Below are 21,303 nucleotides of genomic sequence, written 5' to 3'. Positions count from 1 at the left end.
ACAGCCTCCCTGATATATTACCTAACTTTTTACATTTGTGAGCAGTGGTTCTCATGTATTCATGTGCTGGAGATGCAGACTCCTGGGTGCCATTCCCAGAGCAGCTGATTCAGTAGGTCTGGGAGGCCTGGGAATTTGCATCATCCCAGGGTGGCAGATCATTCTGAGAAGAAGTTGCCCAGTGGTGAAGAGTATGAGTTTTGGAACCAGGCTGGGATCCAAAGCTTGGCTCTGCCGCTAATGAGCCACAATTCTGGGCACGTTTACAGATGGTTTCCTCATGGGGTTGTAAGTGAATGAGATAAACGTGTAAAGTACCTCCCACAATGCCTGGTATATAGCAGGTTCTCAATGAATAAAGGTGGCCCTGGTGGCATTGGTGGTAGTAGAAGTAGGCATTGATATTGCTATTGTAACATCTTCCTCCTTGAAGGGTTCTTCTGCACCTGATCAGTAACAGATCATGAGGAGACAGAATATCAGACAGGATAACTCTTTATGTTGAGGTTATCTGGGATCACCCTCATTTAAACAGATTGGATGGACCAGAAGATCAGTGCTGAGAATCTTCAGGGCAAAGTCCAAACCTCCAGGAAGACATAGGTCTCCTATTTGGCCTTTCCCCAGAACACCGGCCTCAAAGGGGTACATAGACATGGCCTACTGGGACTCTCCCAGAAGGCCTTGCACCCCTGCCTCTGCCTTGTTTGGGGAGTGGGCTGTGCTTGCCTCTTTCCCTGGTTGGATGCCTGCAGGCATATATTGGCCTCCTTGTAGGAGAGAAGAGAATAAAACATGACAGTGAGCAAGGAGAGCCCCAGTGACAGAGCTCAGCTTGCCAGTAAATGGCCAGGGGAGCTCTGAACTAAAAAGGACTATGGGGGAAGATTTGTCCTATTTCATACTAACACGTACCGTAAAGATTCAGTAATTCAAGCTGTGTATACAGGAGCTTGGATAAAGAAGCAGAATAGAAACCCAGAACACTCAAATGCATATGTTTGCATTCAGTATTTGATAGAAGTGACTTCTCAAATTGGCCAGGTTGTTCTGGGCAGTGGAAATCTAATTTCTCAAAGTGCTGGGGTAAAGATGGACTTTAAAAAATAGTATTGGGAGATCTGGAAAAAGATGAAAAGTTATAAGTTTGGTCCATACCTCTCATCATACATCAGGAAAAACTCCAAATGGATCCAATTTTTAAATGAAATAACAGGAATCATAAAATGACCAGAAAAAAAATATGGGCTAATTCCTTGATAACCTTTTGAATAAGAATCTCCCTCTGTGATTCAAAATTCAGAAGCTGTAAAAGATTGTTAAATTAGACTACATTAAAGCAAACAAAAAACTTCTGTATGACCAACTAAATTAAAAAAAGACCATAAGCAGAGGCAAAAAATGAACAATAAAGTGAGAAAAAATAATTGCAACTCATAACACAAAGGGCGAATATCCCCGATATCTATAGAATGCCTAGAAATCAAGGAGACCAAGGACAGCAACCCACAGAACAAAAAATGGGCCAACCAAGGACATGAGGAGCCGTTTCACAGAAAAAGGAATATGAATGGCCCTTTGACATATGAAAAGATCCTCAACCTCACTCCTAAGATGAAAAATACAAAGTAAATATATACTGAGACACAAGTCTCAACCATCAGATTGGTAAACATTAAAAAGTGTGACCACACACCTTGATGGAGACACTGGCAGGAATGCAAAATGGTGCAACTCCAATGGAGAGGGATTTGGCAACAGCTATGAAAGTTACAAATGCATTTTCTCTTTACTCAGCATTTCCTGCATGGGACTCTACCCTGTGGCTATATCTGCACACTTACGAAATGAAATTAATGCAAGGTCATTCATTGCAGGATTGTCTGTAATTGTAAAATACTGGAAACATCCCAAGTGTCCATCTAGTGTCTAGATAACTGAACGGGGACATATCCCTCAATGGAATACTTTGCAGCTTGACTAAAGAAACACTCTGTACTGATTTGAAAAGATTTCTAGAATGTACTGCTGAGTTGCCAAAGTAAGGTGCAGAACAGTATCTAAAGTGTGATACTTTTGTGGAAGGGTGGGGGCATAAGTAAATAACTCCATGTTGGCTTTCAGCTGCGTAAGGTTATGTTGGAACGATACAGATGAGATGAATATAAGTGGTTACCCATGGTGGGAAAGGGGGAGGAGGGAATGGATATGGACATCGTGGGATGGGGGTGAGATTTTGCAAATCTATTCTATTTTACATTCTTTTAATTTCTGAGCCATGTTAGTATTTACTTCCTTAAAAGAATTTCTTTTCTTTTATTTCTTTGTATTTTTAGAGACAAGTTCTGGCTCTGTTGCCTGGGCTGGAGTGTAGTGATCGTAGCTCACTGCAGCCTTGACCTCTTGGGCTCAAGCGATCCTCCCTCCTCAGCTTCTCAAGTAGCTGGGATCGCAGGCACATGCCACCAGCCCTGCTCCACTAGCTAATTTATTTATTTATTTATTTATCATAGACACAGGGCCTCACTGTGTTGCTCAGGCTGGTCTCAAACTCCTGGCCTCAAGTGATCCTCCTGCCTCGGGCTCCCAAAGTGTTGGGATTATAGGCGTGAGCCTCTGTGCCTGGCCTGAAAAATAATTTTAAATAAAAAAAAAATCCCAGCTTGTTTCCTGCTTGCACTTTCCATGATAACTATTTCTCTGGATGCTGTTCACCTACCCCTGCAGCCCCTTCATGCCCCAGAGAACTCTGGGAGTAGCTCTCTTGCTGTCTGACTGTGGAGTCAAAGGGTCCACTCACCTCGTCTGTCTTCTTGGCTTACGTGTCTGTCTAGCTAGATGCTGACCTTCTTGCCTTCAGTTGCACCTTCACCGACTTGGGTCCTAGTGGCCCTTGATTTCAGCTATTTAATAGGTCAGGGGGTCAGTTTCCTTCTGAGAGTAAAGGTGACCTGAGAGAGGAAAGGTGGCCCCCACAGAGAACTCCCCACATCAGCTGCTTCATCTCTGGCAGAACTGACTCGGCAGATGGCAAAGTGCTTGGAGCCACCGGAAGCCAAGGTGCAGAGAATTCTGTGGAAGGAAGCTGGCTTGCAGCTCAGAAGCTGGGCAGCGAGGGCTGCTGGAACATAGAGGTGCCCGCTCATTTGGCAGGGGTGCCCAGAGCGAGAGGAAGTGGGGCTCCTCAGTTAGGAAGCTTTGTCAGACATCCCCCTACTGCCCCAGGGCTTCACAGAGGCCCTGGAGAGACTGATGCTTCCCCAGCAGCCGGTCCATCTGGGCTGGTGCTCACGCAGCTCTGGGAGCTAGGATATTTTAGATGTGTCAAAAGTGACGAATGTTGGAAAGTGCCACGGGCATCTCTGGGAGCTCACAGTTCACACTGGCAGCTAAGATGTGCCGAGCTTTTTGGAAGAAACTGAACTCTGGAGGAAACTGAGAAGTCTTTTGCTGTCCCAGATGTGGGTGGCAATGGGATGGGCTCTGCAAGGGGACAGAGCCCCGACATCAATAAAGATGGGGCTGGGCCATAGCAATGCCTGAGGTCTTGGCAGAAAGAAGTGGCATTCTGAGAGGGCAGCAGGGGCAGGAAGGAGCAGGAACGTGTGGATTTAGAAGCAGGCACGCAGGGGCCTGAGGTTGGAGTCAGCAGAGCTTGCAGCTGGCAGCACCGGGGGCTGTGGAGTCGGGCCTGTTCAGTTCCGCTTGCCAGGATGGAACAGGGGCAGCAGCCAGAGCCAGCCTGAGGCTGGAGGTGAGCCCGGGGCCTTCGCCCACAGTGAGGCTGGAACAAGGCTCCAGTGTGTCTGGATTTGAAAACACCCCAGGGAATGTGTTACTAGAATTCAACATCTACCCCGAATATAATGCATCCTAAGACGAGGGTGCCTTGGTGTTCTGTTTGCAGCATGGCCTTGGTTTGCGTGTAGTGTCACTGGTTCTCTGCCTCTGCAGGGAGATGGCTTGTCCCATGCTACCCAGCCAGGGAGGTGGCTCGTCCCAAGCTGGGGGTGGAGGAAGCTGAGGCAGTGGCTGGGAGAGAAGGTGTAGGATCAGGCTTAGGCGAGTCACAGAGAAGGAGGAGAGTCAAAGAGAAGGGATCCTCACTATGGACCAGTGGGGTTCTGGGGTGGTGGGGGTACAGGACCAAGTTGGGCCAGCCCAGCCTGTCTTCTGCTGAATGATGAATGGGGCTGGGGTGTCAGGGATGGATGGAGAAGCTAGCACCAACTCTACCTGCCCCAGGTGCTTTCTGATGAAGACGCAAACTCTCTTCTGGTTATTGTTCTTCACAACCTCCCGTCTCCCTGCAAACTCACACAACCAGGAAGGAAAGAGAGAGAGAGAGAGAGAGAGAGATGACAGAGCGTTCCTAGTCATCTTTGTCATCCTCCCCATCATGATTATGATCATCGTCATCCATGCCTGGACTTCTTATATAACCTGCTTAACTTGTTGAGGGCTGAACTTGTCTTTCCACCTCCTACCTTCAACCAGCTTTTGCTAACTTCCTCATTCTGCTCACACATTCCTCTCTTCCAGGCACTGGCTCACCCCCCACTGAGTCATCTTCCACTCCCCCTTCCTCTTTCTTCCCCTCCTACTATCAGCAACTCACTGTAGCATGACCGCCTGCAACTGCTTCCTGGGAGGATCCGCTTCCAGTCCCCTCTGTTCACACGCTCTCCATCCTGCGACACGCGGCTCCAGCCATAGCTGCTCGCAGGTCCCGGATGCCTCTGTGCCTTTGCTTCTGCAATTCCTTCTGCTTGGAACCTCTCTCCTCTTCCTACACCTTAGCCCTCAACCTTGGAGGAATTAGAATGTATGGATAGTTCTCTTGACAGCTGGTCGGGGTGGGGCCCTTCTCTGTGCTCCCCAATCCCCTGTTCAGACCTTGAGGATGGGGCTGTTTATTTCCCATTTCATGACTAGGCTCTAAGCTGTACGTGTCTTATGCATCTGTGTGGTCCCAGCACAAGGCCTGCACAGAGGTGGGTTATCTGCTGAATTGATTTAACAGGATAATTCATTTTCTGCCCTTCCTAGGGAAAGATTTGTCACGGTGAGCCAATACCAGGGGGAAGGGGAGAACAGAGGCAGGGGCCTGCTCTGCTTTACTTCTCACACCCACAGTCCCCTTCCTATGGTCAGGAGCCACTGGCCAGCAACACAGCAACTCCTGCCTCTGTCCGCCCTCTAGGAATGAGCTGAAAGAAAGGCACCAACAGACAACAAGCAAGTTCCGGATATTCTTTGGAATCATGGGTGGTCCTTGTTTCGCCCTCATCTTAAAGCCCTCCAGACCCCAAACCAGTGTCCTTCTCCCTCCTCCCTTCCTTTTCTAGAATTCCTCATTTATTTTGAGCCTTATAACTCAGTCTTTAAAAATTGCCTTTGTGAAGGCTTTTCTGATCTCAAACTGTTTCCTGTGATATTAATAGGAGTTATGGGGAAAAAGGAGTTTTGTGGCCAAATAAATATGGGAAGTGTCGTATTAAGCGGCATTAATCAGGCTTCCTGCTGGCCCGAGAGAAGAAGCTACTGTGAATTTAATCTCTAGAAGGGGCAGATGGTATACAGCGGCTCTCAACCTCAATTACTTTGAAGCAAGCTGCCCCCGCCCTCCGTATTTCCTTTTTTGGCCAAGCGTTTCTGGGACTGATAGTCCATAGGATGCAACTGAGGAAATTCTGTCTGGGGCAGCTTTCCAGCGGGCTTGTATACTGTTGAGCTGTGCTCACACTCACCTCTGTGTGCTGGGGTTTCGAAGGCTAGTCCTCCCTGCTTTCATGGAGGCAAGGCTTTATGTGTAGGGGAGAGGGCTGAGCGCTTTAAGAGCAGGAAATGAGTTTCTAAATAGGCACATCGAATGGTTTAGACGTTGTGCTCTAGCATCCCAAGGCCAAGGATCTTGTGGAACTACTTTGGGGGCTGCTACAGGAGATGGCAGAGGACACAGAAGTTAAAAGGGTGGGTTCCTGACTGCCCGCCCACCTTGTTTCAACCCAAACAAAATTGCTTTTAGGTTTTAACATTTGCTGCTTGAGATTCTGTTTGTAGGAAGGTTTCCATGGCTGACACACATTCAAAGACCACAAATCTAGACCAATCACTTCAATTAACAGATTAAAAAAAAAACAAAAAAAAAACAGCCCAAAACCTGAGGTGCCGAAAAGCTAAAACAGATATCAATCAATCACATCACTAGATGCTGGATGTAGAGTCCAAGTTTCTGGACCTACCATCTAATGCTCTTTCTACGCACCCTTGCATTTGTTTATTTCCTTCTGACTCGGCCAGTTTCAAAAGAGAAGAATAAAAGATAGCAAGGAGCAAATAGCAGCGAAGATAACGGGATAAATCCACCAAGAAATAGCGGGGGAAAGGTAAAGAGAAATCCCACCTGCCCCCCATCTGATCTGTTTCACTGCAGTTCTTCTTATGCTCCACCTTAAAATGTAAAGAAACGGATGCTAAGAGCAAGGGCTGCTGATGCCAAGAATAACTCCGGAGGAGACACAATACACCACCCCAGTCTCCAGTGAAATGAACTGTTTAATCAAAACTGCGCTATTCTGTAAATATTCAGTCTATTGATGAAGAGCTCTGCAAACAGGGGCAGCTCCTAAGCAAGGCAGAGAGAACCTGGAAGGAACTGAAGAAGACAGAGAAAAATGGCAGATGTGCCTGTCTTGATGGTTGGGGTGGGAGGACTTACATATACACTCTGTGTTCAATGCATGGGAGGTGAGGCAGAGGGGGCAGCAGAGAAATTCAGAGTAACTCTCTTAATCCTTGGCTTTGCCTGACTGGCTAGAAGTGTAGTTCTTTTTTTTCTTTTTTTTTTTTTTGAGACAGAGTCTCTCTGTGTCACCCAGGCTGGAGTGCAGTGGCACAATCTCGGCTCACTGCAAGCTCCGCCTCCCGGGTTCACGCCATTCTCCTGCTTTGGCCTCCCGAGTAGCTGGGACTACAGGCACCTGCCACCACGCTCGGCTAATTTTTTTTTGTATTTTTAGTAGAGAAAGGGTTTCACCATATTAGCCAGGATGGTCTCGATCTCCTGACCTCGTGATCTGCCTGCCTCGGCCTCCTGAAGTTCTGGGATTACAGGCGTGAGCCACTGCGCTTGGCTGAAGTGTAGTTCTGTTAATTATAATGATGCAAATACTTATTGTGCACTTCCTGTATACCCTGTGTAGTTTATTAACTTTTCACAAAATGCTCTAAGGTAACCAGAGTCATCGTCAGGGATGAAACTTAGACAATTTGGTTCTAGAGTCAACATTCTTTTCTTTTCTTTTTCTTTCTTTTTTTTTTTAGGTGACGAATCGTAAGTGTATAGCTCTGTGAGTGTTGTGAGTGTCTATTATGTTTACAACCACCGTAACCACCACCACCATCAAGGCAGAGAACATTTCTATTCTCTGAAACGTGTCTCCAGGCAACACCACCAGCAGATGTAACTGTTCAGACTTCCATCACCGGAGATTAGTTTTGCCTGCTCTTGAACTTCGAGTTAGTAGATTCACACAATAGATGCTCTTTTGGGCCTGGCTCTTCTCACCCAACATTAAGTGAGATTCATCCACGTTGTGGTATGTGCAGAGCCTGCATCTTAACTGCTCTGTTCTGCCTCTCATCACATTAACTAATTCCGTGTTGCCTTCCAGAAATGTTTCCTTGGAAAGTGGATTGGGTTTTGCAGAGCTGACTGAGCCTGAAGGAGTGGAGCGAGAACACAGAAGGTTAAGTTCAGAGGGTGGCCCAGAAGAGAACTTTTTAGATAACTCCCTGGTGCTGCACAATTCTGTCTCTCACGGCCAAGTTTCGTGGTCCCAGACTCACTGGTATCAGCACAAGTTCCTCTTTTGATTTTGTTTCTCCTTTCACAGAACTAACTTAATCACCACTGCTTTCTCAAACACGTGGACAGCATTCTCAGGCATCATTTAGGGCAGTGGTTTTCAACTGAGGGGTAAGTTTGCTCTGCTGTTACCTTCCCCCACCTTGGGGCATTTGGAAACATGGCAACACCTGGAGATAGTTTTGGTTGTCAAAACAGGGGGCAAGGGGAGTTCTACTGGCATTAGTGGGTAGAGGCCAGGGATACTGCTCAACACCCTTCAATGCACAGGACAGCCTCTCACAACAAAGAATTATCCAGCCCCAAATGTTAAGTGTGCTGTGATCAAGAAGTCCTGGTCTAGGGTCAACACAGGAAGTTGGTGGCTGTTCCCTTTTCTGATATAGTAAGAGAGCAGACACAGCGGAATGAATAGAGCTCTTGACCAAGAGTCAGAAGATCTGGGTTCAGGGCCCCACTTTGCACCAACTAGCTGTCTGACCTTGTTGAGATCATTTAACCTCCGCAAGGCTGATTTCCTCGTCTGTCACTTAGGAGCTGTGACGCCTGCCTTTCTTACTTACACGCTTGTTGTCAGAATCACAAGTGAGAATGTCAGTGGAATCTCTTTGAAATGCTTACATGTTATTGTTTTATTTGACTGTGACAGCAAATCAAGCTTATATGGGTGTTTTTGTGTCTAATGTCAATGCAAGAATAGTTTCGGCAGGGTTTCTGTTGCCCTGTGTTCAATTTCCAGGGTCATAGCCTCCTTCTCACATTTGTGTGGGAAAGGAGCTCATATACAAAGGGTGTTTCCTGGAACTGTGGGCAGGGCTTCAAACATCCCTGCAATTCTCTAAGCCTGCAGCTCTCCACACTGAAACTTGTGGTCTAGAAATTCTCTTTTAAATGCTTGTGAGACCTCTGAAGGGGTTCGCTCCAGAAAAGCAGGGCCTTTTTAGCACTGAAAGTTGGATTTTATTTTGCCACATAAGAGACTTAGGGCTGTCGCCCCTCCTGGGTGAAGATATGCAGTGTTATGGCAACATCAGTCTGATAGAACGTTGTTGAGCTCAATGTGCTGTGCCACATAGTGGAGAGAGGGGGCACAATTCTCTCTGAGAGGCAAGAGCCCTGGTGCTGTGCAAGCTGGCACCAAAACAACATTGGGTATTGGTCAAAACCTTGGGGATCTTTGCCTTGTGAATACACAGGAGAGTGAGGTGAGGCAGTTAACAGTTCTACTCAAACACAATTGTTGAAGGGAGACTTAGTAAGGAATAGTGTGGGACATGGATATTTTGTCATCATTAACAACATAAACAGTGTTTGGATTCAAGGGGCAAATTTGCCCTAGACTAAAGGCTGTTCTGGTCCCATCTAACAAAGTTTTAAAGCAAGTCTCAAAAGGGTCAAACTATTTCCAAGTAATTTAACTGCACCCCAGGACAAAGCTGAAGAACATTTAAAATAATGTAGGAATACCCAGCACCAATTAGGTAAAATTCACAATGTCCGGTATCTAGTCAAAAATTACCAGGCATGCAAAGAAGCAGGAAAATACAACCCATAATGAAGAGAAAAATCAATCAATCAAAACCAACCTAGAATTGTTATAGATGGTAAAATTAGTCCACAAGAACATTAAAACAGTTCTTATAACTATATTTCATTTATTCAAGATGGTAGAAGAAAATGTAAGCATGCTAAGAAGAAATATGGGAGATATAAGAAGTCTAAACTGAACTTCTAGAGATTCAAAAATCAATGTCTGAGATATGAAATACATTAGGTGGGATGAATAACAGATTACACATTGCAGAAGAAAAGATTAGTGGACTTGAATTCACAGCAACAGAAACCATCCATTTGAAACACAGAGAATAAAGGCTGAAAATAAATTAACAGAACATCAGGGAGCTGTCGGGCAATTTTAAGAGGCCTCATATATATGTAATTGAAAATTCCAAAGGAGACAAGAAAGGGGACAGAAGAAATGCTTAAAGAAATAATAATGGTGGAAAAATATCTACGTTTGATGAAAGCACTAAATACATAGATCCAAGATGATCAATGATCTCAAAACACAAAAAATATGAGGGAAACTACACCAAGCCACAGAATAATCAAATTGCTGAAAACCAGTGACCAAAAAAAAAAAAAAAAAAAAAAAAAGAAGCTAGAGGTAAAAAGTCAAACTGCATACTCAGTGACAAAGATAAGAATTCAATAGACGTCTTCCCAGAAACGAGGCCTACCAGAAGACAATGGGGCAGCACCTTTAAGGTTCAAGCAAAGATGCGCAGAAAATCCCATTGCCTTGGGCTCCTTGTATGTTGGTAGATGTTGGGATGGAAACTCATCCTCAAAGCCTAGCCAGGTGTCAGCAAGAAACACAGTGCACTAACATGTGGTGGTCAGACGATGATTACAGCCCCGTGTTCGCGCTTATGAGAGAACAGGAAGTGAGATGAAGTAATGGAAAATTTCACAGTGACACTAAGAAGAGATCCGAGTTCTAGAACACACTGAATACATATTTTCCCTCAAAAGTGTCTTTCCTCTATCTGTCCCCAGCTCTGTGAGTGACATCCCCAAGCCATGAACTTTAGGCACCCTTGACCCCTACATTTCTCCTACCCTATTGCCGTTCAGCTCACTGATTTTTCTCAAAAATACCTCCATTTACTTTTTTTCCTCCAGATCTAATTCAGGCCCTCATTATGTCTCACAAACTCCCTATTTGACACTGGGATAGTTGTATTACTCCTCTGCCCCTTTATAGAATAAGGGGATTGGCTGATGATCTCCAAAGGCCCTTTTTGTTTTTTAAAGTATGGGTTTTGGTGATATTTTGAGATATATATATATATATATATGTGTGTGTATATGCAAAGACCTCTTTTATATCACACTAATGAAGCTCGATTCTGATGTGGTTATATCCAGAGAGGAGGAGGTTATGAGTTATGAATGTGCCCTGCACATAGTAGCTGCTCTATGGTATTTGCTGAGTAAAGAAATGAAAGAGTTTAAAGCAAAGCAAACAAAACTCCCATTCTTGCTCCAAATAGCTATGTTCTGCAGAACAGGATCCAGTTTATGGTAGGCTGAATAATGACCACCTCCAAATTTGTCCACATCTGAATCCCCAGAACCTAGAATATGTTACCTTATATGGAAAAGGGACTTTGCAGATGTGATTAAGGTAAGGATCTTGAGAGGGGGAGATTATCCTTGTTTCTTTGAATGGGCCCAATGTAATCACAAGGGTTCTTATAAGAAAGAGGCAAGAGGCTTAGAATCAGAGAGAGAAACTGGAAGATGCTATGCTGCTGGCTTTAAAGATATAGGAAGGAGCCACAAGCCAAGGAACGTAGGTGGCCTCTAGAAGCTGAAAAAGGTGAGGAAACGGATTCTGTCCTCAGAGTCTCCAGAAGAAACACAGTTCTGTTGACACCTTAATTTTAGGACTTTTGACTCCAGAACTGTAAGATAGTGTCAATTTAACTAATTAAATTTGTAGTAATTTGTTAACAGAAGCAATAGGAAACCGATATGCAGCCTTATTTCTGCATTAACTTTTTTTGAGATGGAGTGTCACTCTGTCGTCCAGGCTGGAGTGCTGTGGCACCATCTTGGCTCACCACAACCTCTGCCTCCTGGGTTCAGGCTGTTCTCCTGCCTCAGCCTCCGAAGTAGCTGGGATTACAGGTGTGCACCACCATGCCTGGCTAATTTTTGTATTTTTACTGGAGATGGGGTTTTGCCATGTTTGCCAGGCTGGTCTCAAACTCCTGACCTCAGGTGATCCTCCCGCCTTGGCCTCCCAAAGTGTTGGGATTCCAGACGTGAGCCACTGCACCTGGCCTGCATTAACTTTTTATACTTACTAGGAAAGAGGTTTAACCTTTCTGAGTCTCTGGTCTACTTTCAATCAAATAGCATTAAAAATGTCTTCTATATGAGATAAGGGTATAATGAAATAGTGCATAATCCTATTTGAAATAATATAAAATACTCCTTATAATACCAAATACTACTACTACTTCTACTACTACTGGTACTACTGGTACTGCTAATGCTTTGCAAATGCCTTATAGACATTGTTTGACTTTAATCACTAAACAATCTTATGAAGTAGCGATTGCTATCCACCTTCCACAGATGCTCAGCCAAGACTTAGAAAGGGCGAGAAGCGTGCTCAGCCACACAGCTAGAAAGTGGAGGAGCTGGAATCCCCATTACAAACAGGTGTTCTGGCTCCTTTAGTTATGCTGGCGATGATAAACTTGATGCCAGTGGGGGCTTTTACGATGATGCTTATTACTGTACCACTCTGTTGTCATTCTCTTCTCATGCCTCTTTCCTGTAACAACATCTGATTGCTTCACTCATCATATTCCAGCCTGTCACCAGCTCGTCACGGAAATGATTGAAATGCTACTAATTCTGCATTATGGCCTTCTGGCTGGGTGAACTTGGCAAAGGCTGGGGAGATGTTTGTGTATCTAAGAGCAAATGGCCCCGAGGTTTGGAAACGGAAATGCTCCTCCCACCACACCCAAGAGAAATGTGCATGGTGAGGAGTCCTGGGGTTCTCAGCCCCTTGTGAGTGGAGCCAGGACATAGATGCCAGCTGCCGTGGGGTTTCTCCAGAATTCTCAGCTGCACAACTGTGAACTGAGGGAGTTGCTTTGAGGCAGTGTGGCATACAACACCTTATCCTTTTATTTGAGGGACGTGCTAAAAGTTTAAGTAGTCAGCTTTCCAATCCTCATCCTCCTTCTTTCATTTACCTGTTTCCTCTTCCTTTTTCCTCCCATCACCTTTGATTCTGAATATTTCCCTCTGCTGTTCTGAGGTCTGTTTTTAGGGGGCTGGCTTGGCTAACAGGAGTTAGGACAGAAAGGGCCGGCTCTGCATGAGCTCTGCTTTCTGCAGCCCAGAGCAACGGTTTGCTTTGAAGATTGTTGAGAATATTTGGATTAATAAGATTTGTTCTAATATTTCCCTTCATTTCTGATCATCAAAGTGCTTGGAAGGTTTGAGCTGGTGCAGAGTTTCTTCTAGTTTGTCCTTGGGAGCAAGTGTCTGGAACAGGGTTGATTTAAAAATGTTTTCTGACTGAAGCCTTGTTAATGGGGCAGGCTGCAAATTCACATCAAGGGAGTGTCATCTTTCAAAGCAGCTTCTTGGCAGAAGGGGATGTGGAATATTAGAGAAATCTGAATCTGTTAAGCTTCCATTAAATGAACCCTTGATTCCAGACTGTGCTGAGCGGAACCTAGGGACTGTGGGCCGTGAGTAATTGACTTCTTCAGTGGCAGGATGCCTGAGAAAGGTCGAGCGTCCTTTGGGATGAAACATCCACCAGTTTGAAGGAGGTTTTTGCTTTTCTGTATTCCTCTGTGTCTCCTTTTCTATGTACTTTTACTTTTTTTTTTTTTTCGTTGATGCTTTGTGTTTTGCCCAATATAATGGAGATGAAAGGCGGAGGTCTTGTGCCGGGGTCTGGAGGATGTGTGTGGAACGACCCTCGTTGTCATAGGTCATCATTTTATGGCTGTCAGCCTTCCTCACATTGACTGTAAGTACCTTGAGGACAGGGGCAGGATTTTACCTTCCATCCCCTTTCCCCGCCTCCTACCTCGTTCCAGTGCCACTGTTGCTCAACCCATATTTGGCAACTTATCCCAGGGCGCCTCTGTCTGCTGAAGCTCTGACCCTGTGACCAGGCCACTTTAAGATGGGTGGGACAGGTCTGAGACTCCATCTGCCTTCCTAAAAGACTGCTGGATCTGGAGATGTCACCCTGTGGGCTGTGATTCCCGTGGCTTTTCCAGGTAGTCTCGCAGACCCAGCCGGCCCAGGCCATCCTTCTCACCTTCTCATATTGCTCCTGGTTCAAAGGCCCCATCCCCATTTTTCACATCTATTCCTGACTGATTTGCGTGGACTTTCTGTCTTAAAAAGCAAAATAAAACATTGTAGAAAACTTAGAGAAAAACAGCCAGGTGCAGTGGCTCATGCCTGTAATCCCAACAACACTTTGGTAGGCCGAGGCAGGTGGATGACCTGACGTCAGGAGTTCGAGACCAGCCTGGCAAACATGGTAAAACCCCATCTCTACTAAAAATACAAAAATTAGTCAGGCTTGGTGGCTCATGCCTGTAGTCTCAGCTACTGGGGAGGCTGAGGCAGGAGAATCGCTTGAACCTGGGAGAAGGAGGTTGCAGTGAGCTGAGATCATGCCATTGCACTCCAGCCTGGGGCAACAGATTGAGACTCCGTCTCAAAAAAAAAAAAGAAAAAGAAAAAAAAGAAAACATAGAGAAAATCACCAAAATTACCTGTATTCCCATAATCAGAGATAACTATTGTATTATGGTTGTGATTTCCTTCTAGGTTTTAAAATGCTGTGTGTGTCTCCATGTGTATGTTTGAGTTTAATTGTGTGTATGTGTGTGTATATATATAATTTAGAATCCTGATTTTATAACTCAATGTTTTGTCTTGAACACTCCCCCACGACATCAATAATTGGCAAGAGAGAATCCTAACGTGTGGTTGTACCAGAATTATAATATTTGAACAACCCTCTACTGTTGTAACTTAAGTTACAACCACAGTTTTTTCCAAATGTAAACCACACTGTGATGCAATCTTATTCATAGACCTTTCTCTATATCCCAGATTAATTCTCTTTGAATGAATTCCTGGAAATGGGATTACTAGATTAAGTGACATCAACTTTTAAAAAGACTCTCAATACCTATTGCCAGTTGTCAGCGCCAATTTAGCTTTGCTCATGCAAACCAGCAGGGTGCCCTTGTCTTCTGGACATAGTGGGTTTTACCAGTCATATGTATAGCTCTCCCCTGAGAACTTGCCTGGGCCCTAACCCTTGGGATGTGGTATTTATCATTCATGTTCCTGCAGCATCTGATGCCATCCCTGGAGAGCCCCACGTATGGGTAAATGCAATGCAATGGTAAATGCAATGCAATGGTAAATGCAATGGAATGATTTATTGCCTGCATCTCCTTGCGTTAGGGCCTTGGGGTTAGTGAGGATTCAGTTACTCTGCTTTCACCACACTCCCTCCCCAGGCAGATCCCCGAGACAGAGAAGAATGGGGAAGAGGACTGAAGGATGCCTTTGAGTTGAATGAACAGCTGAGAAGTCTTAGCTGGAAACATGCCAGAATTACACAAGACCATGGATAATCATTTAATTCGTATTTTGTACCATTTCATGTAGCCGAGAAGAAAAACATAGGATGTAGAGTCAGGAGCCCTGGATTCTAGTTTTGGGTCTTCCAGGCATTAGCTGAGTTATGTTAGGGAAGTCTCTTAAGCTATTTGAGATCCAGTCTCTTCATCCGTAAATATACAAAATAATAAGGCCTTCCAGGTGCGGTTGTTGAGATGCTGAAATGAGACGTCATCACGTGACAGCACTTTGTATACTAAAGTATTTCTGGAAGGAAGTGCTGTTATCCTCACCAACTCCATGTGGAACAATGTGCATTACTTGGCAATGTGTCACTCTTGCTGAGAGGTCCTTTCAGGACGTGTTATGATCTTATGTTTTGCTTACTTGTTTATTATAGTATTTCATTGAATCCAGTATACACAAATAGCATGATATACCATTGTTTAACATACCACTAACAAGGAAAAAAGCAAGTTACAAGTTAAAACCTGATGTCTTAGTGATAGTCTTATGTGAATTGGTCACAGTGCCTCTTGTTGTTTGGAGATTTCTTTCCCCTACTTTAGGGTTTGGCAGTTTCTCCTACTCTTAGTTGCTTTGCTTAGAGCCTGATGGGCAATCCTCTTGCATGTGCACCAGTAAAGCACAGCTTCATATATTGTGATTACATTTCATAAAACACTTTTTGTTACTTTGTAAGAAAACATAGGATGATGGTTACTCTAATGATGAATATCAAATTTATGCCTCACCTCTGTCTCTGTGCCTTTTTATGTGCAAATAATGAGTTAGTCTTTTCAAAAACCTTCTGAATGGAAATTAAGCTCAAGCCATGCACTGCCACTCAAAAAGGCAAGCAAGTCAACTGAAGCGATGGCAGTTAAGAGCCCTTTTTATCAATGTCACAACCATGCCCTAGCCCACAGCATTGTAAGATATATTCCACATTCAAAGATATTAAATAGGAACAACAGTGGACCTTACAACTGAAGACATAAAGTATCTGTTTCCCATACCAGGGAGCTGTGTCCTTGTCTATTGTGTCTTCCACCCTATGCCCAGTACCTAGCACCATGTTGGCATTCAGAAGGTACTCAGCAAATACATGTTTAGTAATGGAGAAAACAATACAATTCTGCGCATGTACATTTTATTAACAGTGGAACTGGATAAAGTCTTATGGAATGAAATAGTATATAAATAGCTTCTTCTTTTTCTAAACTCTTTTTTTTTTTAATGATTCAATAGATCCAATGGTACAAAAACCCCTTTCTTATAAAATTTTTTAATTGGTGATACCAGTTATAACAACTAAAATTTTGACTGGTAAATATAATAATAGATATCCATTGACAGCATTCCTATCATATTATGTAATTTTGTATAACACTTGTCTGTTTCTAAATGCAGACATGATATCACTAGTAATAGGGACAGAAGTGATTCTTGGTCACCAAGCAGGGTAAATTTGGGAGTATAGGAAACAATTTCATCCATGTAAATGATGTGGCAAAACACTGCGTATACAGAGAGTCCTGGCTTACTGGGGAGTTGGTAAGCCATAGTATGGCTATTATATGTTAAAAAAAAGAATAAAGATTGTGTTTGGGAAATGAATTTTGCAGGGAAAAATAGAAAATTATATTTATTTACTGAACACCTATTAGGTTAGCACGTGGTCTTTTAATCTTCACAGCAATCCTTGGAGTAGATAGCTTTGCTTCATTTTGCAAATGGGGAACCTGAGACTCAGAGAGAGTAACCTGCCTGTGGCTAGTAGGTAGTTGCTCCAGTATTCCAATTTCAGTCTTCTTGATTCTACAGCAATTGCTTTTCCAACCATTCTATGCTGACTCAGAAAACCTGAGAGTTTCGGAATACCTAATAGGAGTTAATGAACATTTAGGAAGACTGGGGCCAGCCCTGGAGGTGGAGTGGAGAAAGTGGCTCATCATCTGAGGAGGAATCAAGCTGGTGACATTGATGGATTCTATTCTATCTAAACCATTCACAGTGGATTGATGTATTTCCCAGACAACACTGAGGAGAATGTGTGGATTTGGGTACAATAACAAGAGAGGATTCTGGTGATATGTTCCCACAATTGCCTGCATACATATCCTCTTCATTTTGCTTTATTTGGCTCAGTTTTGTTCCTTCATTCCTTTAGCAGTTCTTAAAAGAGCTACTGTATAAGGTTTGCTTTGATACAGGACAAATACATTGGGATGTTGTGAATGAGGGAGCTCTGCCTACAAGTAGTACTCAACAGAGAGGCTGGGTGAGAAGCCTAGGAGAGAAGAAAGGATGCACAGAAGAATACTAAAAAATTAAAAAAAAAAAGTAGCAGGAATGAAGGGTTGAAAAACCCACAGCCCTTTCACCAAGGTCAGGTTGGTTGGTTCTTCCTGCACAGTGCTGGAGAGGGCAGAAGGATGTGAATGCGGAGGAAAAGGTGTCCAAAAAAAAACTGGGACTAATGAGAACCTTGTTGGGGACTATGTCAGTCGTAAGGACTCTCCCTCAGCCCCCAGCATAGAGTTTGGGGATGAATACATTTTTGTTTCAGAGCAAAGTTGATACATCCAAATGTTCCCATATTAACTAATTTGTTCAGTTCAATACTAATAAAGGGATGGAGGGGGGTCGGCCTATAGGAGAGGAAAAGAACCAGCTAGGAAAGGCGTTTCGTATTTTATCAAAGTATGTGGGTTAATGATCTCCCTACCTCCAAAATGACCACAGCGAGTAAGACTCGCTGAATCCTGTGTTCAGGTCATTTGTCATGAGAGGAACTGGACTGGACTAATATTGCTTTGGGGATGATCGGCTTAATTTGACTATGGGGTGGCAGTTGTTGGGGCTCAGCAACTGTTACCCCAAAATATGGTGCTTTGACATGCTGAAATAAGAAGAGCCTCAGGGTCTCTCTGATCTTCACTCCCTACCCCCCACCCTTGGCCCTACCCCATCTCTCAATTCTTCATCTCTCCCAAAGCTCTGGATGAAGTTGTTCTCTTCATCCCTTATCTGCCTAAAGTCTGGAAATACCAAGGAAGAAAGCAATTACCTCTAGTCTCCTCCCTGAGTTTTCATCAACTGAACCCATATCACAGGAAGAAAGACTGAAGTCTGTCAACACACCTGGACAGTATTTTGTCACAAACCATCGTCTTCTGTTTTGGTGCTCATTCAGTATTTCAAAGAGAATCATTTACCAGCCCTTGTCTGCTCTGAAGTCCCAACAGACTTCGTCCATGGCCATTGTAAGTTCCCCAAGTCCACTCGTCTCCCCCTAAAAATCATTTACCATCCCTCAAATTGCCACATTTCCCCCATCTCCCCTTCCCCTATGAAGAAGGGTTAATGGGTAATTGTTCTCTATGGATCCTCCAGTGCTAGACATGTTAAAATAAATTCGTATGCCTTTTCTTCTACTAATCTGTCTTCTGTGAGTTTTCAGTGAGCTTTCAGAGGGCAAAGGGGAAGCTTTCCCTTAGCCTCTACACAGTGCCTGGTGGAGTATGGAAAAAGGTCGCTAGCCAGCTACCCTTTCTGTATTCCAGAATTGTACAAGCTGAAATTTGTCCTAGAGGCCACTCTCACCTTATTATAAGAGGGACCACTTTAGTGAGCTCTTTTCGTTTTCCAAAGTAAGGCAAGTACTGATTTGTGTGTGGCCGGGGGAATCCTTGATTCAAAGAAATAATTCAATCGTAGATATGTCGCAAGACCTTATGCAGATGACTGATCACATTCCAAGAACAGGAATTTTCTTATTTGCATGTTTAATAATGAGCTAAATCAAGTCAGTTTGACCTTCCTTTCTTCTTTGCTTCCTTCCTTCCTTCCTTCCCTCCTCCTCTCCCTCCATTTTTTTCTTCCTTCCTTCTTTCCTTCTTTTTTTAGAGAAAGCAAAAAGAAAAGTATATTTCTCTTTTGCTTAGAAATACTCTCAAGAGGATAGGGAAAGTTTAGCTATTGTGAAAACCAATTTTATTTCCCTGTTCTCCTGGTTTCCCCACTCCTATGATTTGCCTGTGTCCCCACCTAAATCTCATATTGAATTGTAGTTCCCATAATCCCCACATGTCCTGGGAGGGACCAGGTGAAGATCATTGAATCATGGGAGTGGTTTCCCCCAGCTTGTTCTTGTGACAGTGAGTTCTCACGAGATCTGATGGTTTTATAAGGAGCTTCCCCTACCCCTTCGCTGGGCATTTCTCCTTGTTGCCACCATTTGCGGAAGGATGTGTTTGCTTCCTCCTCTGCAATGATTGTAAGTTTCCTGAGGCCTCCCAAGCCATGCTGAACTGTGAGTCAGTTAAGCTTGTTTCCTCTATAAATTTCCTAGTCTCGGGTATTTCTCAAATATGTCTTTATTAGCAGTGTGAGAATGGACTAACACACCCCCACACCTGTAGCATCTTCCCCCACGTCAGGGTGGGGGGCAGAGGGAGCCAGCAGGGCTTAGGAGTTGGGAACACAGCCAGCTTTGAATAGAGCATAATTTGAGCCTGTGTCTTCAGGGAGAATACTGGTGCTTTGTTAGGGGAGCCTCTCAGCAGTCTGTATCATGTAGAGAAAGAAAATCTTGTCGCCTACCTGGATATCTCAGAAGCTAGGGCTCTGGGTTTGGAATTGTGAGTGGAGTTAACAGGGGAGGGATAGGGAATAGGCAGAGTGGTTTGGGCCACCTTTGCTGTGCCTTCTCATCAGCACCTGCTTTGCCCTGGTCAAAGGCCTCTCTCCTGATCTGGACTGTCTTGGAACAGTGGTCATGTGCCTTCTGTGGGAGGGTGCCCTTTCAGTCGTGGCAGGAGAACTGAGCCCGTTCAATGTGCCCATGCCAAAGAAGACTGGGTGTGGCTGGCTTCTATTTCTGTTCTCCTGCATAGCTGTGGCTTCAGAGATCTATGGAAGGAGCAAAACAACACCCTTGCCCCAAGGGTGTCATAGAAGTCTCCTTTCTGCACAGCCTCTCCCCTCCTGGGCTAAGGAGAGCCCCGTTGTGAAGCACGGTACTGGGAAAGGAGCCCCACAGGTGTGTGTTTGAGACAAGAACAGGAAGAGGTACTACAGGCACCCAAACACAGCCTAGGTGGGGCACACACCACAGAGACAGAGTGGGGAGGGGCGGCTGCCATCCACTCTATGGAAGTTCCTCCAAGTTGGTGAGTAAGGATGAGACCCAAGCAGTGGAATTCCTCTATCCAAAGCCCAGGAGCTCTGGCACAAGGAGGCAACAGCCGCCTCTTGTGAGGAGGGAGCTCGCGGGTACTGGCTGTATGGTACTGGCTCCCTAGGGCTGACCAGCAACCTGCAGCCACGTCAGTGCAGTCCCCTAATGAAAGCAGGATACTCAACTCATGATAGAGGTGATGGTTTTTGGCCTTGGAATGTTGGCTCGGGTGGGAACTGGCTTTAGAGATAGTTGTTTAGCAACTTGAGCTTGTTCCAAGGAGGGTGACTAAGAGTGAGGGGACTGGAAACTGTGTCATTTGAGGATGTGTTGAAGGGAGACTTAGTCCAAAGAAGGGAAGGGCTGGTTGACGTTGGGTGAAACGTGAAGGAAACAGATCTTGGTACAATAAAGAGAGGAGCTGCCAATGGCATTAGATGAGTATCATCTGAACAGTCTATCTTCATACTCATGAAATGTTTGTCCCACTTCATAGACATCCCTACCAAGCTGGCAGACCATTCACCACCACCACCAATACCAACAGCAGCTGTTGAGCACACTTTGTGTTGAGCCCTGTTGTCAACATTTTTTTGTATATTAAATCATTTGATCCTCACAACAACCCTATAAAGTACATGAATCTTTTATTATCCCACTTTTTAAAGATGAGGAAACTGAGACACGGGGATTATCCCACTTGCCTGAGGCCGCATGGCTGGTGAGTAGGGGGGCTGGGACCATATGTAGCAGAGGCTGGAGTTGGCATGTGGCCTCCGTCTGCTCCTGCCAGCCCTGCTGTAGCCCAGCACCCTGATGGCCGGCTGTAGAGTGGTAGCCTTTCCCCTTAGGTCCTGGCCTATTCGTGGACTGTTGGCCTCTCCCAGTGCTGTCACATCAAGTTTCAGATGCCCCAGAAAACTGGGGACCTGTGCTGTCTAGCATAAGGGAATTTCCATTCTCTTTGCCTTGGTGGTTCCTCCAGCTTCTGCATGACTGTGGTTTTTGTAGCTTGGTTTGACTGAAAATAACTGGCCTCATGAGTTCTATT

The 21,303-nt window shown here is 44.6% G+C and overlaps 1 protein-coding gene across 1 annotated transcript in view, besides 1 other annotated feature; it reads right to left on the bottom strand.

Moving 5' to 3' along the window:
* The window catches only part of LIPC (lipase C, hepatic type), a 137,854-nt gene that overhangs the window by 43,580 nt on the left and 72,971 nt on the right, over positions 1–21,303 (bottom strand). The gene's annotated exons all lie outside the window — the stretch shown is intronic.
* Positions 3,781–4,980: an enhancer, noted in NCBI's record as "CDK7 strongly-dependent group 2 enhancer chr15:58813484-58814683 (GRCh37/hg19 assembly coordinates)". NCBI's record gives its function as "activates an origin of replication core promoter dependent on BRD2, BRD4, P300/CBP, MED14 and CDK7 cofactors, with strong dependence on CDK7, by STARR-seq in HCT116 cells {active_cell/tissue: HCT116}" and the evidence as "EXISTENCE:reporter gene assay evidence [ECO:0000049][PMID:35650434]".

Source organism: Homo sapiens, chromosome 15 (assembly GCF_000001405.40).
Source record: "Homo sapiens chromosome 15, GRCh38.p14 Primary Assembly".
Classification (NCBI taxonomy): domain Eukaryota; kingdom Metazoa; phylum Chordata; class Mammalia; order Primates; family Hominidae; genus Homo; species Homo sapiens.
The sequence above is the reverse complement of the archived record's forward strand: the minus strand, read 5'-3'. Positions and strand labels throughout refer to the sequence as shown.